Below are 21,684 nucleotides of genomic sequence, written 5' to 3' on the forward strand. Positions count from 1 at the left end.
GGGGGCCAATATTCAACATTCTTAAAGAAAAGAATTTTCAACCCAGAATTTCATATCCAGCCAAACTAAGCTTCATAAGTGAAGGAGAAATAAAATACTTTACAGACAAGCAAATGCTGAGAGATTTCGTCACGACCAGGCCTGCCCTAAAAGAGCTCCTGAAGGAAGCGCTAAACATGGAAAGGAACAACCGGTACCAGCTGCTGCAAAATCATGCCAAAATGTAAAGACCATCGAGACCAGGAAGAAACTGCATCAACTAACAAGCAAAATAACCAGCTAACATCATAATGACAGGATCAAATTCACACATAACAATATTAACTTTAAATGTAAATGGACTAAATGCTCCAATTAAAAGACACAGACTGGCAAATTGGATAAAGAGTCAAGACCCATCAGTGTGCTGTATTCAGGAAACCCATCTCACTTGCAGAGACACACATAGGCTCAAAATAAAAGGATGGAGGAAGATCTACCAAGCCAATGGAAAACAAAAAAAGGCAGGGGTTGCAATCCTAGTCTCTGATAAAACAGACTTTAAACCAACAAAGATCAAAAGAGACAAAGAAGGCCATTACATAATGGTAAAGGGATCAATTCAACAAGAAGAGCTAACTATCCTAAATATATATGCACCCAATACAGGAGCACCAAGATTCATAAAGCAAGTCCTGAGTGACCTACAAAGAGACTTAGACTCCCACACATTAATAATGGGAGACTTTAACACCCCACTGTCAACATTAGACAGATCAACGAGACAGAAAGTCAACAAGGATACCCAGGAATTGAACTCAGCTCTGCACCAAGCGGACCTAACAGACATCTACAGAACTCTCCACCCCAAATCAACAGAATATACATTTTTTTCAGCACCACACCACACCTATTCCAAAATTGACCACATACTTGGAAGTAAAGCTCTCCTCAGCACATGTAAAAGAACAGAGATTATAACAAACTATCTCTCAGACCACAGTGCAATCAAACTAGAACTCAGAATTAAGAATCTCACTCAAAACCGCTCAACTACATGAAAACTGAACAACCTGCTCCTGAATGACTACTGGATACATAACGAAATGAAGGCAGAAATAAAGATGTTCTTTGAAACCAACGAGAACAAAGACACAACATACCAGAATCTCTGGGACGCATTCAAAGCAGTGTGTAGAGGGAAATTTGTAGCACTAAATGCCCACAAGAGAAAGCAGGAAAGATCCAAAATTGACACCCTAACATCACAATTAAAAGAACTAGAAAAGCAAGAGCAAACACGTTCAAAAGCTAGCAGAAGGCAAGAAATAACTAAAATCAGAGCATAACTGAAGGAAATAGAGACACAAAAAACCCTTCAAAAAATTATTGAATCCAGGAGCTGGTTTTTGAAAGGATCAACAAAATTGATAGACCGCTAGCAAGACTAATAAAGAAAAAAAGAGAGAAGAATCAAATAGACACAATAAAAAATGATAAAGGGGATATCACCACCGATCCCACAGAAATACAAACTACCATCAGAGAATATTACAAACACCTCTACGCAAATAAACTAGAAAATCTAGAAGAAATGGATAAATTCCTCGACACATACACTCTCCCAAGACTAAACCAGGAAGAAGTTGAATCTCTGAATAGACCAATAACAGGAGCTGAAATTGTGGCAATAATCAATAGTTTACCAACCAAAAAGAGTCCAGGACCAGATGGATTCACAGCCGAATTCTACCAGAGGTACAAGGAGGAACTGGTACCATTCCTTCTGAAACTATTCCAATCAATAGAAAAAGAGGGAATCCTCCCTAACTCATTTTATGAGGCTAGCATCATTCTGATACCAAAGCCGGGCAGAGACACAACCAAAAAAGGGAATTTCAGACCAATATCCTTGATGAACACTGATGCAAAAATCCTCAATCAAATACTGGCAAAACGAATCCAGCAGCACATCAAAAAGCTTATCCACCATGATCAAGTGGGCTTCATCCCTGGGATGCAAGGCTGGTTCAATATATGCAAATCAATAAATGTAATCCAGCATATAAACAGAGCCAAAGACAAAAACCACATGATTATCTCAATAGATGCAGAAAAGGCTTTTGACAAAATTCAACAACCCTTCATGCTAAAAACTCTCAATAAATTAGGTATTGATGGGACGTATTTCAAAATAATAGGAGCTATCTATGACAAACCCACAGCCAATATCATACTGAATGGGCAAAAACTGGAAGCATTCCCTTTGAAAACTGGCACAAGACAGGGATGCCCTCTCTCACCACTCCTATTCAACATAGTGTTGGAAGTTCTGGCCAGGGCAATTAGGCAGGAGAAGGAAATAAAGGGTATTCAATTAGGAAAAGAGGAAGTCAAATTGTCCCTGTTTGCAGACGACATGATTGTATATCTAGAAAACCCCATTGTCTCAGCCCAAAATCTCCTTAAGCTGATAAGCAACTTCAGCAAAGTCTCAGGATACAAAATCAATGTACAAAAATCACAAGCATTCTTATACACCAACAACAGACAAACAGAGAGCCAAATCATGAGAGAACTCCCATTCACAATTGCTTCAAAGAGAATAAAATACCTAGGAATCCAACTTACAAGGGATGTGAAGGACCTCTTCAAGGAGAACTACAAACCACTGCTCAAGGAAATAAAAGAGGATACAAACAAATGGAAGAACATTCCATGCTCATGGGTAGGAAGAATCAATATCGTGAAAATGGCCATACTGCCCAAGGTAATTTACAGATTCAATGCCATCCCCATCAAGCTACCAATGACTTTCTTCACAGAATTGGAAAAAACTACTTTAAAGTTCATATGGAACCAAAAAAGAGCCCGCATTGCCAAGGCAATCCTAAGCCAAAAGAACAAAGCTGGAGGCATCACACTACCTGACTTCAAACTATACTACAAGGCTACAGTAACCAAAACAGCATGGTACTGGTACCAAAACAGAGATATAGATCAATGGAACAGAACAGAGCCCTCAGAAATAACGCCGCATATCTACAACTATCTGATCTTTGACAAACCTGAGAAAAACAAGCAATAGGGAAAGGATTCCCTATTTAATAAATGGTGCTGGGAAAACTGGCTAGCCATATGTAGAAAGCTGAAACTGGATCCCTTCCTTACACCTTATACAAAAATCAATTCAAGATGGATTAAAGACTTAAACGTTAGACCTAAAACCATAAAAACCCTAGAAGAAAACCTAGGCATTACCATTCAGGACATAGGCATGGGCAAGGACTTCATGTCTAAAACACCAAAAGCAATGGCAACAAAAGGCAAAATTGACAAATGGGATCTAATTAAACTAAAGAGCTTCTGCACAGCAAAAGAAACTACCATCAGAGTGAACAGGCAACCTACAAAATGGGAGAAAATTTTCGCAACCTACTCATCTGACAAAGGGCTAATATCCAGAGTCTACAATGAACTCAAACAAATTTACAAGAAAAAAACAAACAACCCCATCAAAAAGTGGGCGAAGGACATGAACAGACACTTCTCAAAAGAAGACATTTATGCAGCCAAAAAACACATGAAAAAATGCTCATCATCACTGGCCGTCAGAGAAATGCAAATGAAAACCACAATGAGATACCATCTCACACCAGTTAGAATGGCAATCATTAAAAAGTCAGGAAACAACAGGTGCTGGAGAGGATGTGGAGAAATAGGAACACTTTTACACTGTTGGTGGGACTGTAAACTAGTTCAACCATTGTGGAAGTCAGTGTGGTGACTCCTCAGGGATCTAGAACTAGAAATACCATTTGACCCAGCCGTCCCATTACTGGGTATATACCCAAAGGACTATAAATCATGCTGCTATAAAGACACATGCACACGTATGTTTATTGCGGCATTATTCACAATAGCAAAGACTTGGAACCAACCCAAATGTCCAACAATGATAGACTGGATTAAGAAAATGTGGCACATATACACCATGGAATACTATGCAGCCATAAAAAATGATGAGTTCATGTCCTTTGTAGGGACATGGATGAAATTGGAAATCATCATTCTCAGTAAACTATCGCAAGAACAAAAAACCAAACACCACATATTCTCACTCATAGGTGGGAATTGAACAATGAGATCACATGGACACAGGAAGGGGAATATCACACTCTGGGGACTGTGGTGGGGTGGGGGCAGGGGGGAGGGATAGCATTGGGAGATATACCTAATGCTAGATGACGAGTTAGTGGGTGCAGCACACCAGCATGGCAGATGTATACATATGTAATCAACCTGCACAATGTGCACATGTACCCTAAAACTTAAAGTATAATAAAAAAAATAAATAATAATAAAATGTCTCCCATCAAAGAAAAGCCCAGAACCTGATTGTTTCAGTGATGAATTCTACCAAATATTTAAAGAAAAGCTAATATAAATTATTCTCAAACTCTTCCCAAAACCTGAAGAAGAGGCCCTTCTTCCAAAGTCATTTTTTTTTTTTTGAGACAGATTCTTGCTCCGTTGCCCAGGCTGGAGTGCAATGGCATGATATCGGCTCACTGCAAGCTCCACCTCCCGGGTTCAAGCGATTCTCCTGCCTCAGCCTCCCCAGTAGCTGGGATTACAGGCATGCGCCACTACACCCGGCTAATTTTGTATTTTTAGTAGAGACAGGTTTCTCCATGTTGATCAGGCTGGTCTCGAACTCCTGATCTCAGGTTATCCACCTGCCTTGGCCTCTGAAAGTGCTGGGATTACAGGCTTGAGCCACTGTACCTGGCCCCAAAGACATTTTATAAGGACAGCACCCTAACATCAAAACCAGACAAGGACACACACACACACACAAGAAAACTACAGGCCAATATCCCTGATGAACATAGAAGCAAAAATCCCCAGCAACATGTTAGAAAATCAAATTCAACAAGAAATTAAAAAGATCACTCATCATGGTTAAGTGTGATTTATCCCAGGGATATAAGGATGGTTCAATAAATGTAATACATCACATTAATAGAGTGAAGGACAAAAACTATAAGATCATTTCAATAGATGCAGAAAAAGCATGTGACAAAATTCAACCATCTCTTCACGACAAAAATTCTCAACAAGTTAGGTATAGGAATGTACCTCAATGCAATAAACGTCATGTATGACAAATCCACAGCTAACATAATACGGAATGGGGAAAATTTGAAACCTTTTTTTCTAAGAACTGGAACAACACAAGAATGCCCACTTTTCCCCACTTCTATTCAACATAGTACTGGAAATCCTAGCCAGAGCAATTAGGCAAGAGAAAGAATTAAAAAGGCATTCAAATTGGAAAACAGGAAATCAAATTGTTCCTCATTGCAGACAGCATGATCATATACCTAGAAAACCCTAAAGACTCTACCAAAAAAACTGTCAGAACTAATAAACAACTTCAATAAAGTTGCAGAATGCAAAATTAATACACAATAATTAGTAATGTTTCTATACACTAATAGTGGACTCTCTGAAAAAGAAATCAAGGAAACAATCCCACTTAAAATGGCTCCAAAAAAAGATACCTAGAAATAAACTTAACCAAGGAAATTGAAAGTTATCTACAATGAAAACTGTAAAACACTGATGAAAGAAATTGAAAAGGATACAAATAAATTTAACAATATTAATTGGAAGAATTAATATTGTTAAAATGTCCACACTACCCCCAAAGCAGTCTACAGATTCAGTGCAATTCTTGTCAAAATACCTATGGCATTCTTTAAAAAAAAAAAGAAAAAAAATTCTAAAATTCACAGGGAACCACAAAAGACCGCAAATACCCACAGCAATCTTGAATAAGAAGAACAAAGGTGGAGACATTGCACTCCTAACTTCAAAATATGCTGCAAGGCTATAGTAACCAAAACAGCATGGTACTGGCATAAAAACAGAGACAGAATAAAGAGCCCAGAAATAAATCCAAACTTTTACAGCCAACTGATTTTCACAAAGGTGCCAAGAACACACAATGGGGAAAGGACAATCCCTTTAATAAATAGCATTGGGAAAACTGGATATACATATGTAGAATAAAATTAGACCCTTATTTCTTAACATATACAAATACCAACTCTAAATTGGATTAAAGACTTAAATAGGCTGAACGCAGTGGTTGATGCCTGTAATCTCAGCACTTTGGGAGGCCAAGGCAGGCGGACCACCTGAGGTCAGGAGTTGGAGACCAGCCTGGCCAACATGGCAAAACCCTGTCTCTACTGAAAATGCAAAAATTAGCCGGGCGTGGTAATGCACTCCTGTAATCCCAGCTACTCAGGAGAGTGAGGCAGGAGAATTGCTTGAACCTGGGAGGAGGAAGCTTCAGTGAGTCGAGATTGTGCCACTGCACTCCAGCCTGGGTGACAAAGCGAAACTCCGTCTCAAAACAAACCAAAAAAAACTTAAATATAAGACCTGAAACTATAGAACTACTATAAGAAAACACGGGAAAACTCTATGAAATTGGTCTGGGCAATGATTTTTTTAATATGGCCTCAAAAACAGAGGCAACAAAACCAAAAATAGACAAATGGGATTGCATGAAACTAAAAACTACTGCACCGCAAAGAAAACAATCAACATAGTAAAGAGACAACCTACATAAGGAGAGAAAATATATGGAAACTACACATCTGATAAGGGGTTAATATCCAAAATATTTAAGGAACTCAGACAAGTCAATAGCAAGAATACAAATAACCTGATTTTAAAAATAGGCAAAAGACATGAATAGACGTTTTTCAAAAGAAGACATACAAATGGCCAACAGGCATATGAAAAAGTCTCAATATCACTAATCATCAGGAAAATGCAAATTAACCACAAGGAGCTATCACCTCACTCCTGTTTGAATGGCTGTTGTCGAGCTGGGTGCAGTGGCTCACGCCTGTAATCCCAGCACTTTGGGAGGTCGAGGCTGAGGTCAGGAGTTCAAGACCAGCCTGGCCAACATGGTGAAACCCTGTCTCTACTAAAAATAAAATAAAATAAAAAAAAAAATAGCCAGGTGTGGTGGTGGGTGCCTGTAATCCGAGCTACTCAGGAGGCTGAGGCATAATTGCTTGAACCCAGGAGGTGGAGGTTACATTTAGCCGAGAGCATGCCACTGCACTCCAGCTGTGCAACAGAGTGAGACTCCGTCTCAAACAAAGAAAAAAAAAAAGAATGGCTCTTGTTAAAAAGACAAAAGATAACAAGCTGGCAAGGATGTAGAGAAAAGGAAACTGTACACGCTATTGGTGGAGATTGAAATTTGTATAGCCATTATGGAAAACAGTATGGCAGTTCCTCAAAAAATTAAAAACAGAACTGTCAGTCTTATGACTTGCACTTTTTTATTATTACATATTGATCTTCTTTGTCTCTAATAATGTTTTTTACCTGAAAATCTATTTTGTGTGATATGGCTACACCTATACATGGTTTGTCTGATATAACTATACCTGCTTAATATTTACCTGGAATATCTTTTTCCATTCTTTTACTTTCAACTTTATATTTTAAGTGTGTCTCTTATAAGCAAAAAATGGCTAATCTTTTATTTTATATATATATGTGTGTGTATATATATATGTGTGTGTATATATATATATGTGTGTGTATATATATATATATATATATATATATATATATATATATATATATATAGTTGTGTTTTTGAGATAGGCTCTCACTCCGTCACCCAGGCTGGAGCGCAGTGGCACAATCACAGCTTACTGCAGCCTGGACCTCCAATCCTCCCACCTCAGCTTTCCAAGCATCTGGGACTACACGCATGCAGCACCACACCTGGCTAATTTTTTTGTTTTTTGTAGAGAGGAGGTCTCGCTATGTTGCCCAGATTGGTCTTAAACTCCTGAGTTCAAGGGATCCTCCCATCTTGGCCTCTCAAAGTGCTGGGATTGCAGGTGTGAGTCACCGTGCCTGGCCTAATCTGTCTTTAAAATTTCATGTGACAGTATTTACTTTTAACTGGATAATCGATTCCATTCACATATATTGGGATAAATGGTTAATTAATATTTATTTTATTTTGTAATTTCTATTATTTTTTGCATTTTCATTTTCTTTTGTTTAACTATTATTATCATTCCTTTCTTCCATTCTTGTGGATTAATTTTATTTTTTACTTTATTTTTTCCTTTACTAGTTTGAAAGCTTTGCACTCAATTTCTATTCTTTCGATGACTACTCTAGAAATCGTAACATACACATATAATTTAGTTAAATCTTATGATACTAAATACTCACCTCTTGAACAGATCAAGGACTTTAGTGTACTTTAACTCCGATTAATCCCATTGGTAGTTTAGCTTTATCTTGTCTTTATTTAAATTAGTTGTTATTTTTGTTAAATGGCTAATGTTTGTTTTGCCCTGACCAGTCTTAATTCCTGCATTTTCTTGCTTTGGGCATCTGAAGAGTACTCCTACTTTCTTGCTAATTTAGCACTTAAATAATTTTTAAATATAGCATATGAGATGTATTGCAGCAGAAGGCTTTTATGGATGTATCCAGGATACCAAACTACTTGGAATGGACATCTCCTATTCATCTTTGTAATCCTTTTGTCTCATTCACTGTCTGGTATGTAGTGAGTGCTTAATTAATCATCATAGAATGAAGAGAAAAAGAGTTTTAGCCTGTGGGCTTGAGAAACTAGCTACCACTGATGGAAACAGGGACGCTTAGTAGCAAAAATAAACTGGGCTTAAACCAGAAGATTCTAGATGTATTGAGTTTGAAGTTGACTGTGGGATTTGCAAGTAGCAATGTCCGACTGAAAGTTAAAGATATTATAAAATCTTACATTTGGAACCTAAATAGTCATAACATCCAAATAAGTACCCACCACAGGAATCCTAATGATAAAGATCATTACAGCCTATACCTTAACACTAAAAAAATAGTCTTCACCCATTAATGCTAGAGTTGGACATCTCTAACCTTAGAAAATTCTACATTAAGTACCAAAATCTGTCCTATTTAGGTTTAAACTCTTTTTTATCTGACTTCTAAATTAGTGCAGATTATGTCAACTCTCTTTTCCTGGTGATAGTTCTTCAATGTGAGTTCTCACTGACCTACTCCACTAGGGGCTCTCTTTATACCCTCCCATCTTTTCTAGAACCTTCCATTTGTACAAACTAATATTCACCAGCTGGTGATGTTAACATTGAAAGCAGGAGCAATTTCACTAATGGCGGCTTATATACATAAGTGGCTTATGTATATACCCTATATATGTGGGCTGACAGAGTCACTCATTTAATGCAGATCCTTTTACTAAAGCCTAGCAATTCAGGATTGAGGGAAGCCTTACCTTGTAGCTTGAAAGAGGTAGTTGAACCTGAGAGAATATTGACATAGCTTGAACCTATCTTGAAAAAGTCTTAGGGAAATTCCTGAACAGCATATCATTGACATATGCAAATCCCTCTATAATTTGCTAAAAGTTTTCGTGTGCATTACCTTACGAGGGAAGAATAATCATGATCCATGGTGTGCAGATGAAGAAAATGTCTTAGAGTGTAGATGACCCAAGGTCCCAAAGCATGAGGGAAAAGCCTAGAACTTGAATCCAAATCTTCTAGTTGTCCACCACATCATTACTCACCCAATTTAAGTTGTTAGAGTAGATAGAGTCATTCCAAGAAGATGGCTTTAGATCTTTGGGCCTCATTTCAAGGACAAGGATGACACCACTCTCACTCATACCTTGACCCCCTTAATGAAAGCCTTTTCTTTCTACCATCTGTGGTAAGCAGATAATGCTGCAAAGATGTCCGTGCCCTAAACCTGTGAATATATTACCTAACCTGGCAAAAGAGAATTAGGCTGCAGTTGCAATCAGAGTTGCTAATCAGAAGATTTTGAGATGAGGAGATTATTCTGGATTATCCAGATGGGCCCACTCTAATCACATGAGTTCCTAAAAGTGGAAGAAAAAGCTGAAGAGAAACCTGCAAAATGACAGCATGAAAAAGACTCAACCCACCCATGCTGGATTCAAACATGGAAGAAGGAAGCCACAAATCAAGGAATACAGGTGGCTTCTAGAAGCTGGAAAAAGCAAGGAAATGAATTCTGCCCCTAGAGCCTCCAGAAAGGAACACAGCCCTGGTGACACTTAGATTTTAGCCCAGTGTGGTCAAAAGCCCAGTGTCAGACTTCTGACCTACAGGACTGTAAGACAATCAATTTGTATCATTGTAAGCCACTGTTGTAATTAGAAAATAATATGCCACCTCTTAACGTTAGTCTTCCTAAAGATTATTTGACCTTCAAATTTTATAGCTACTTAGGAACACTTTTAAGATTTAAAAAATAACTACAAGCTGATGCCTCCAAAATCAACATCTTTAGCCCTGACATTCTCCCCAAGCTTCAAATGTCTACATCCAACTGCTTATGGGGTATTTCCGCTTCCATGCCCCATGTTTCCACAAACTCAGTGCATCTTGATGGAACTCACCTTCATTCTTTCCAATCCTACTCCTCCTTGTATAATATATCCCCTTATCTGAATTAGGGGCTGTCAATCTACACCAGAAACTCAGGAGTCCTCTTTCACGGACCCCTCAATTCTCCCTCTCTCCCACCAGTCAGTTGATCACTACGTGCTCTTTATTTTACCTCTGAAGTTATTTTTTCCTCTGCTGTCCATCCCAGCGATTTACCACCATCCTAGTTCTCACCCTCAGTATCTTTATTGTAACCTTCCTTTCTCTGATCTCTTTGCCTTTCAGCTGGTCCTTCGGAAATCCAACCTCCACAGAGTTGAAAGTGATACACCTAAAGTTTAAATCTGACCAAATCACTCTCCTATTTAAAAATGTTCAGGCTGGGTGCAGTGGCTCATGCCTATAATCCCAGCACTTCGGGAGGCTGAGATGGGAGGATCCCTTGAGCCCAGGAGCTGAACACCAGCCTAAGCAACATAAGAAGACTCTATCACTAAAATAAATAAATAAATAAATAAGCAAGCTGGGCATGGTGGTGGTAGTCCTAGATACTCGGGAGGCTGAGGTGGGAGGATTGCTTCAGCCCAGGAGGTCGAGGCTGCAGTGTGCCATGATCACAGCAATATACTCCAGCCTGGGTGACAGAGTGCTCAAAAGAATAAAAAATAAAGAAATAAAATTAAAATTAAAATGTCCAAAGGCCACACTTCTTCCCATGGCCTTTATGCAAGATGTCTCCTGGCCTGACCTCCCACTCTCACTCCCGGGGCCATCTCTTGCTATTCTCTGCTGTCCTTTCTCCCTGCCTTTAGCGTCTCTGCTGTGTGAAATGGCTATATAGCATGTTAGAGCTGTGAAAGTAATTTTGCAAATAGTATCTCATTTCTCAAAATAACTAACAAGAGAGGTAGAAAAAAAAACCTTGTATTCTCATTTTACAAATTAAAAGGCTGAAGTTCAAAAAAGCTAGCTGATTGCCGAGGGCATACAGCCAGGAGGAAGTGGAAGAAGACAAGAATCCCTTCCCTCCCCATACCTTTGGGCACATTGGCCAGTGCTTGTTCTAACTGTTTTAAATGACAGCATAAGAAAGCGGACTCTACCAATTAGAATATGAAGGCAGAGGCTGGCGCGGTGGCTCATGCCTGTAATCCCAGCACTTTGGGAGGCTAAGGCAGGTGGATCACTTGAGGCCAGGAGTTGGAGACCAGCCTAGCCAACACGGTGAAATCCCCTCTGTACTAAAAACACAAAATTAGTCAGGTGCAGTGGCGTGTGCGTGTAATCCCAATTACTCAGGAGGCTGAGGCAGGAGAATTGCTTGAACCCAGAAGGCCATGGTTGCAGTGAGCCAAGATCACGCCTCTGCACTCCAGCCTGGGCTACAGAGTGAGACTCTGTCTCAAAAAAAAAAAAAAAAAAAAAAAAAAGAATATGAAGGCAGAGAATGAGGGGAGCATGAGTGAAAACAAAACAGAGAATAGCACGTTGAAGGTCTGTTTGGTTTTTGTGTTTTTGAAACACTGTGATTATTCCTCACTGTCCAGTTCTAAATGTTTGTTCAAGCATCCAGACGTCTTAAAAGACAGATGCTACAGCCTGCTGAACTTTTAGTCCCTTGAAGATGAAAACTTCTGCTTCCTGAAACTGTCAATTATCAAAAATAATTGTGTGGTGCTGAATAAATCCTCACTGATGCAGTCAGCACATGGGCACGGCAGTGTATTAGATCTCATAGAATAAAAATGATTACACCAAACGTGCTACTACCAAGTCCTTTCTCAATAGCTTCCACTAGAAAATATACATCCTTATTTTCTACTCCTTATTTCAAGATAAAAAGTAGAGCACATTAATAAATGGTCTTATACAAAGTAATACTTATTACATGATCTAGCCAAATGTCCCTGTCAGTGTCCCCCAGACGACCTTTGTCTACCCCAGGAATTCCGGGCTCTTTTGTGTACCTTTAGCTGTCACAGAGTCCTCTTCAAGACTTTAACTCTTCCTCTCTCCTGACACACCAAGAGTCTTTAATTCTCATCCTAAAAGCAATGAATTTGGCATCAGATTGACAATTGTGCAATTCCAGAAACCCCATCCATCCCTTCGTCAGTGCAGCCATGCAGCTTTCGGGACACCTCACATCTCATCTATCAGAAAGAAGTCACTGTCCCCAACACCCCCAGGGCCTCCTACAGCCTCTGCCTCCGTGTCACAGCAGTGACTTAATCTTCTTCTTCCCGCCCTCTAAGCCAGAGTCATACCCAAAGGCCACACGTTCCTGTCCCACCCCTGAGGCCCAGGCAGTCTCCTCTCTCTTCCAGTTTCGTGGCTCTCCTGCTTTAACCACTGCTGGAATCTCATCTTCCAGGTTCAAATCTCAGAGGCAGTCAGGCAGCCCTAATAGGGCTGCTGAGGAAAGTTTAAGTGCGCACCATTATACGTCTACATCACACCCTGGAGCTCCTCCTCAGCAACGACTCCATCCATCCCCACTGCTCATGGAGGTTCCCAGGTCTGGAAAGACTGAGCTAGCAAGTAGAGACGTCATCGATGCAGCCTCTCCATGAGTAGGTGACAGGTGTACTCTCCTCTCTTCCCTATCCTCTTTTTATCCTCAGAGGACTGGATTCAGCCTTGGGTCCCTGTCCTCTGGGTTCCTTCACCTTAGTCACAATAAATGCTCTTGAATAGAGTAGGAAACAAATGGTGATCACCATCTCATATTTTTCTGCCAGGCAGAAAAACTTCATGACAATTTTATAGGATTCAAACACCCTTTCCCATGGGGTTAGAAATTTCTAAGTGTGCCCTTTTCATGGGCTTAGAAAATTCTTTTTTTTTTCAGTCTTTCATATGATTTTATTTTCTTCATTCAACCATAATAATATGATATCCAAAGTTTGTCTTAACTGGTGGGTCTGTAAACATAGGCTTATCTATCCCACTTATAGGCAAGGCAAATGCTGCTTCTTGAAATGGTCCCTCCATGGACCCTCTGGTCATCTAACCCAAGTCTCCCTCTTGCCTGGCTTTATCTTCACTATATTGTGTGGCCACTCCATTGAATCTCATTCCAGACTTTAACTTTTCCATGGCTTCCATGATTTTGCCATGTTTTTCACATAGAATGTGTGTGACCTTTACTTCATTGCCACCACCTTTGGGACCTTGAGCCTTCTTGTCAGTGCTGTCACTCCCAGAGGCTGCTCCCCCTTTTCCCCCTTTTCCAGAATCACTTTTTCCTTTGAGCGGCATCTTGGAAAGTTGCTGTTGTACCATCCAGGCTTAGAAATTTCTAACCCCATGGAAAGGGTGTTCTAATCCTGTGAAAATGTCACTGAATCTGAAACATAAAATTGTTATATTTTCCAGGCTCAGTAAAGATCTCATCACAATAAAGTCTTCCAGAATCTACCTCTGAATCCCCCTAACACATCTCTCCTCTCTTCTTTCACTTACTAGAACCAAGAGTAGCTTCAACCAGAACAGTATTAATTGTGGGAGCCTCCCGCTGAGACGGAGGCACAATTGGAAGAAAGAGAAAGTAAAAAAGAAATTGCTGGTTGCAGAGAAGTTGCTCCTGAAGGGGTTCTGTGGACTGCTTGACTGCCCCTACATATCACGCATTAGCATCTCATCCTCAGCTTCCATCCTTAACCCTGCCCTCTTCTCTCTGAGAACCTCATCTCGAGTTCCCTTTAGAATATTACCTCCTTCCAGGCAACTGCAAATTACGTTATTTCTGCATTCATCTTCATCTTTGCCCCAGTTTCATTCCTCCTGTCCAAGACTGTTACCCACACCTGTGCCTTGGGCATCCTCCCTGCCTCACCTCCTGAAGAGCTTTCTTCATCAGTCTTTACATCTCTGCCTTAGGCCTGAAATCTCTCCCTCCCTCCTGGCCCTTTCCCCTCAGTGAATAAACATGTCTGTATCTCCCATTTTTTAAAAAAATCCTACCTTAATCCTGTATGGTAGACAGAATATTGCACCCCTCACCAAAACATATCTACCTCCTACTCCCTGGAACCTATGAATGTTACCTTACATGGCAAAAGAGGCTTTGCAGATGTGATTAAGGTAAAGATCTTGAGATGGGGAGATGATCCTGGATTATCCAAGTAGGACCAATGTAATCCCAAGGGTCCTTACTTAAGGGAAAGAGGAGGGCCCGAGTCAGAGAAGGAGAAGGAGATGGGACAACAGAAACACAGATCAGAGTGATGCCATTGCTGGAAAAGGGGCCATGAGCCATGGAATACAGATGGTCTCCATAAGGTGGAAGAGGCAAGGAAGAGCTTCTCTTTTAGAGCCTTAAAAAAAAAAAAAAACAGCCTTGACGACACCTCAATTTTAACACTATAAAACCCATTTTTGAACTTCTGATATCCCACAATTGCAAGACAATAATGTTTTTGTTGTTGTTGTTGTTGTTTTGGAGACAGAGTCTTGCTCTGTCGCCCAGGCTGGAGTGCAGTGGCTCAATCTCGGCTCACTGAAACCTCCACCTCCCGGGTTCAAGTGATTCTCCTGCCTCAGCCTCCCAAGTAGCTGGGACTACAGGCGTGCGCCACCACGGATGGCTAATTTTTGTATTTTTAGTAGAGACGGGGCTTCACCATGTTGGCCAGGATGGTCTCTATCTCTTGACCTCGTGATCTGCCTGCCTTGGCCTCCCAAAGTGCCAGGATTACAGGCATGAGCCACCGCACCCGGACTGTTTTTGTTGCTTTAAGCCACTAAGTTTGTATAATTTGCTACGGCAGAAAGTGGAAACTAATACACCCCACATCCTTCTTTAGCTAATTTTCAAACACTGTCCTCTCTTTCTCATGCAAACTTCTTTATCAGCTCAATTTCTTTTCCCATTAATTCTCCAAATCACTGTAATCTCTCCCCAGACTGCACTCAGTGTATTTTCCTACCAATTCTCATCCTGGAATATTCCTATCACTAGAATTTCATCTCTCTGTATCCTCAAAGTATTAGCTATAGGCCAGGCGCGGTGGCTCACGCTTGTAATCCCAACACTTTGGGAGGCCAAGGCAGGCAGATGGCTCAAGCTCAGAAGTTCAAGACCAGCCTGAGCAACACAGTAAAACCCTGTCTCTATCAAAAATACAAAAAGTTAGCCGGGCGTGGTGGTGTGCACTTGTGGTCTCAGCTACTCAGCAGGTTGGGGTGGGATAATCACCTGAGCTCGGGAGACAGAGATTGCAGTGAGCTGAGATCAGATTGTGTCACTGCACTTTCTAGCCTGGGTGACAGAGTGAGACACCATTTAAAAAAAAAAAAGTACATAATAAACGTAAAATTTTCTCTGAAATCAAAAACTATTGCCTCTGGCCCTAGTTGCCCTGAGCCTTGTTTTTCATAAACAGCAGACCCTCCTCTGCTCTTGGGGGTTTTCTGCTTTCTATGGATGAAAATCTCTGTGCAAGTGGATTTCTTGGAAGAAGGGAGAACATGGAAACAACTGGCAAAAGTTATTTTACTCATTGCTCGTGTCCTTTCACATCCCCCTGTGCCCTCTGTCAGCCCTAGTGCCTCACCCTGCACAAAGCTCAGCCCACCATTCCTTCACCCAAACCAGAGTCCCTTATTTCTTAAAGCCCTCCTCCAGCCTCCCGTTGTCCATCAGAACCCCGCGCCTCTCAGCCACTCACAGTATGGCTCGTCCTTGACCTCCTGAGGATTTCAACATGTAAACAAGGCCCTGGCTCCTCTTCTTTCCCCAGGGTCAAGGTGTCCCTCTGAGCCTGTCCTGGTCTCTGAGATCGCTGTTCTGTCCCTTCCCGATGCACTGTCTCCTGGACCCCACACTGGTGGTGCCACCTGGGTAGATGAGGTAGATGGTGCATTGAAATGTCTTGAATGTCACTGAGTAGAGGCTGTTCCCATAGGTACCGAATCTCTCTCTTTATTATTTGCTACATCAGATTGAAGGGTCTGGGTGAGTCCTCTGTAGGCATCGGCACCTCCATTGAAGAAAAGCGACTGCCTCTTATCTCTGCAACTGTTGTGTCTGCTTGGCCCGCTTGCTTTTTACACATATCATTTTTGGCATCTAGTTTTCTCAGCTTGGCTGACACTTGATGTTACCACATCTCCAATTTTTTTTTTCTATTTGGACTCCAAGGTTCTGAGACAGAGAGTCTTGACTCTAACTCCTCCTTGAAGAAGACTCAGCAGCTGAAAATATCCTCCACCCCATGCAAGTGTGCTCTAGAATGGTCTCCTGGGGGACAGACAGCAGCTGGACATGCAGCAGAAGCCACACTCTGTGCCGACTAGCTTCTTCAGGGTCTCTTCTCTTTTCCCTGGTTAAGAACAAGCTCACGTTTTTCAGCCATTACCTCCTCCACCAAAGACCTGATGGGACTGACAAAAAGCAACAACCGATAAACAAGAGCAAGCTTTAGCATCTTAAAAATACGCTCGCCAGAGTTTATTTTACATTTTCAATTGAAGGGTGGCAAGATAAAAGTGAGAGACTCTTGTACGCGTATGCCTCAAGCTCAGAAGATCAAACAATTCAAATATAAATTCCAGAAAGATCTTTTAGAACAGGGAGAAACCTAGTCAAAAATGAAAGGAAATTTCCCCCAGCTACAGGGAAACACTGATTTTCAAATTAAAAGGCCCCATAAAGTGCTGGGGCAGGATGACTGAGAAATGACCCCACTCAGACGCATCATTGCAACATTTCAGAACACCAAAAATGAAGCAAACAAGTCTAAAACTTCTAGACTCTAGAGAAAGAAAAATAGGTTACTTAAAAAGAAAGAAGAGGTCGGGCGCAGTGGCTCACTTCCGTAATCTCAGCACTTTGGGAGGCTGAGATGGGTAGATCACCTGAGGTCAGGAGTTCAAGACCAGCCTGGCCAAGATGGCAAAACCCTGTCTCTATGAAAAATACAAAACTTAGCCGGGCATGGTGGCAGGCGCCTGTAGTTCCAGCTAATCAGGAGACTGAGGCATGAGAATCGCTGGAACCCAGGAGGTAGAGGATTTTTTTGTTTGTTTGTTTTTGTTTTTGTTTTTGAGACGGAGTCTCGCTCTGTCACCCAGGCTGGAGTGCAATGGCACGACCTCGGCTCACTGCAACCTCTGCCTCCCGGGTTCAAGTGAATGTCCTGCCTCAGCCTCCCTAGCAGCTGGGACTACAGGCACGTGCCACCATGGCCAGCTAATTTTTGTATTTTTAGTAGAGACGGGATTTCACCATGTTGACCAGGATGGTCTCGATCTCTTGACCTCGTGATCTGACCACCTCGGCCTCCCAAAGTGCTGGGATTACAGGCATGAGCCACCGCACCTGGCCCCCAGGAGGTAGAGGGGACTCCGCCTCCAAAAAAAAAAAAAAAAAGAAAGAAAGAAGAATTAAATATAAGATTCCCATCAGTGATACTTGTTGACAATAGAACACTCCGCTCCCCTGATGGAACAGTTTCTTTAAAAGTTTAGATAACTGATTAGTCAGAAGAAATGAGATCCAGGAAACAATAGCTCCAACCCAGCCCAGCCATAAAGGGATGTCCCATTATGACACTAATGCAACAGGCCTGGAGAAAAAAACACTGCAAATTGCAACAGACTGATTGAAGTAAATTTACATTATAAATTCAATGATCTCACCTTATGTCCACAAATATCTATTACACACCTATTATCCAGCCAGCAAGGCACAGAGGATATGGTGATGAGAGAGACAGACTGTCCCTGCTCTCATGAAGCTTACAGTCTAGCCCAGAGGACACTCTCTGTGGTCGGTCCCAGCTATGACCTTCCAGATACACAGTCTGGCTGTTCTCTGGCTCCGTCCCAGGACTGCAGTTCCTTGGCATCTTGGTGAAGCCATATGTGACTCAGCTGCTCTTAGCTGCTGGCCGTTCAGTGGGAATAAGGATTCCAGGGATGGCATTCCCCTTCTGACCTATGGCCCATCCTTCTGCCTTCCAAGCCAGGATAGTGTTTCCTCTCATCCTTCACCAGCCCACTGCTTCTTAGAAGGAAAGCCACCAGTTGGTGATCAGTGCCCTCCTTCAGGCTGGTCCCACTGTACTCAACTTGGCAGAAATTCCTCCAAAGTATGGCCCGTGGATGACCTCTTCCCTGAGGCAGATGCTCCCCGATTTTATGTTCTTTTTGATTTTCAATCAAAATGCAATGAAAGCAAAGTGAAATGGAGAAAGTAATTCGATGCATATGATAAAGCTGCCATTTTACCCGGAATCAGGATGAGCTGAGAGATTAAGGAGAGCAAGAAAGAAAATTGGAAGTTAACTGCTACTTAATAGCAGAATAAGGAACTGAGAATGGCTTGCTTTACTTATTATCAGTCCTCCCTGAATTACAAAATAAACAGGATAAAACTTAGTGTTTTCTCTATGCAGAATAAAGGGTGACATTAAGAGGCTCTGGTAATTAAATTTAATTGGAACCAGATTTATAAAACAGACTGTGAGCTGTTGAGGACAAGGACTCTGTCTTATTCACCTTTGTCTTCAAGTAAATGCTAGCTATTGTCACTGCTGTTGATGTTGTTATCTAATTATTATGTGTAACAGAATATAGAAATCAGTGCCTCAGAGGATGCACAGAAAAGGATTTTACTTTCATTGATAAATATTAGATTTTTCTATGCTAAATCGTGGCTGAATAAAAAGAACATGTACCGCTTTTCTTTGTTTTTTTGTTTTGTTTTGTTTTGTTTTGAGATGGAATCTCACTCTGTTGCCCAGGCTGGAATGCAGTGGTGCGATCTCAGCTCACTGCAACCTCCGCCTCCCAGGTTCAAGTGATTCTCCTGCCTCAGCTTCCCCAGCAGCTGGGACTACAGGCGTGTGACACCATGCCCGGATAATTTTTGTGTTTTTAGTAGAGACGGGGTTTCACCATATCGGCCAGGCTGGCCTCAAATTCCTGACCTTGTGATCCACCCGCCTTGGCCTCCCAAAGTGCTGGGATTACAGGCATGAGCCACCATGCCCAGCCCATGTACCGCTTTTCAAGGGATAGCTTTATATAGCAGTGTTTTTATTTAAGCACTAGGAATAATATTTGTGTGAAGGCTCTTATAAGAATTCATCATTTAAAAAACTCTTTCTCCTCCTTGATCACCTGAACATCACACTATTGATTCATGAAAAATAAAACTTCGTCTCTCTGAGCACATTCACCTGCTCCTATTGCAGATTGACCTTCTGCATCAAGGCAAATGAATGCTTTGTTGGGAAAACCAGAAGCAAGTCCACATCATCACAAGGAGGACGTCCATAGTGCAGAGGGTAAGAATGCCTCTGTGGCATGGCCTGGGCGGCAGGGAAGCACCAAGGAGGAGGAGCAAGGAAGAGGGAAGCCAGGAGGACAGAGTAAAGGGCCAAGGGAAAATGGGAACAACATAAGGCAAAGGAGAGAGAGCCTTGTGAAAGTAGAGGATGTAGCTTGGAAAAAGAGAAAAGGAAGCAAGAGTCAGAAACAGCAGAAAGCCAACCAAAAACCTGAGAGAGAAGACATGCCTGTGGCAAGGGATGCTGGTCAATATCGCATGGCTGTGTGTCCAGAGAGAAGAAGTGGGCTTGGTAAACAACCAGCAGTGTCTGCCACAAACCACCCCTCTGGGCACAGAATACCTTTTACTCCCTTCTCAGGACACAGAAAACAAGGGGATGTTTTCTGGGCCAAGGGGATGCTGAGGCAGGAGTCACCCTTTATGCCTGGGTCAGAGCACCAGGAGGATGGAAGAGAAGGCTTGTGGGGAGAGAAATGGACAGTAAGTTCTCTTCCTCCAGTTCCAAATTTTTCTTGAGGCAGGGACAGTGTTATATACATTTTCATCCACGTAAGCAGGCATAATAAATGCCTAACATAGGACAGAACAAAATAAGACTAATAATTCTAAAACTAGCATTTACTGAGCCACCATGATTGGCCATGCCTTCCACCAGGCATGATGCACAGATTATTTCATTGAATCCTCATAACTAGCCTGTGAAAGGGAGGTTTTTCTATTCCTCTGTTACAGATGGGAAAAATAATTCTGAAGGAGATTAAATATTTTTCTTCATGGTCAAACATTAAGTGATGTGTGTGTCTAAATACAACAAGACCTAAAGAATCACACAGTGCTTTCAAAGTCTGACAACAGCTTGATGAGTCTTATTACATTTGCTTTAAACATTTACCTAGTAAAATAGTCAGATTACTTATTAATACTCTCATTGGACAAATGAATAAAGAGGGGTGCAAGTCACGCAGCCAGGAGAAAGTGACAGAACTGTGGCTATGGCCAAATCTCCCAATTCCCTGATAAATTATTTTCCACACTTCTTCAAGTTGACAGGAAAGAGGGGAGATCGACTCATCCATGGAAGTGAGCATGGTTCTGAAAGGAGCAGAGAATCCCCAGCGAATGAGGGAAAGCAAACGTTGTTCCTTTACAGTTATGTGAGTTGAGGTCACTCTGCTGCTGAAACAGATAAACCCCCAAATCGCAGCAGAGTAACAACCAGGGGATTCTTTTTCATGTGAAGTGCAAAAGAGGTGCTCTCAGCCATCAGGTAGCTTTCTTCCAAGTGGCGATTCCGGGGCCCAGTCTCCTTCTATCCTGTGTCTCTGCCAACTTCAACACATGGCTCCCACGGTTGCCATGACTGGGAGAAGAGAGGATGGGTGGGAAGGTTTTATGGGCTGGGCCTGGGAGTAGACCTGTCACCTTCACCCATATTCCAGTGGCTTAAAACTCAGACATGCCTGTGGCAAGGGATGCTGGGCAATGTGGTGTGGCTGTGTGTCCAGGGAGAAGTGGGCTTTGTGAACAACCAGCAGTGTCTGCCACAGGCCACCCCTCTGGGCACGGAATATCTGTTTCTCCCTTCTCAGGATGCAGAAAACAGACTCATGCTCACGCCAGCCACAACAACCAGCTCACAGCCCAGGATCTCTGGGTCCAGATGAGGCTGTTTGTGGTGCAACAACCAAAGAGCCAGAGGACAGACTATCTCCTCTCCACATACATGCCAGTCAAACCATAGTGGAGTAGGAACCGGAAAACCACAATAAGTCCCAGCCAGATATGAGAAGAATGGGAGACCCACAGCGACACAGGTCCAAAGCAGTGATGCAATCCTGCCTGGCCCCTTCCCCTGGCCCTAGGGGAAGTTCCTTTTCTAACCCTGATTCTGCTTCAGGG

At 41.9% G+C, this 21,684-nt stretch overlaps 1 long non-coding RNA gene and 1 pseudogene across 1 annotated transcript in view; both read right to left on the bottom strand.

The window, feature by feature from the left end:
* The window catches only part of LOC105370922 (uncharacterized), a 35,800-nt gene extending 18,929 nt beyond the window's left edge, over positions 1 to 16,871 (bottom strand). Inside the window, exons 1-2 of the long non-coding RNA XR_932529.2 lie at positions 16,157 to 16,871; positions 12,452 to 12,529 (exon numbers count right to left, since the gene is read on the bottom strand). This is a non-coding gene — a long non-coding RNA (uncharacterized LOC105370922). The remainder of the gene's footprint in view (positions 1 to 12,451; positions 12,530 to 16,156) is intronic.
* LOC100288241 (protein (peptidylprolyl cis/trans isomerase) NIMA-interacting, 4 (parvulin) pseudogene) lies at positions 13,328 to 13,766 on the bottom strand (annotated as a pseudogene).
* Positions 16,872 to 21,684: the final 4,813 nt, after the last annotated feature.

The sequence above is a fragment of the Homo sapiens genome, chromosome 15, assembly GCF_000001405.40.
Source record: "Homo sapiens chromosome 15, GRCh38.p14 Primary Assembly".
Lineage (NCBI taxonomy): Eukaryota > Metazoa > Chordata > Mammalia > Primates > Hominidae > Homo > Homo sapiens.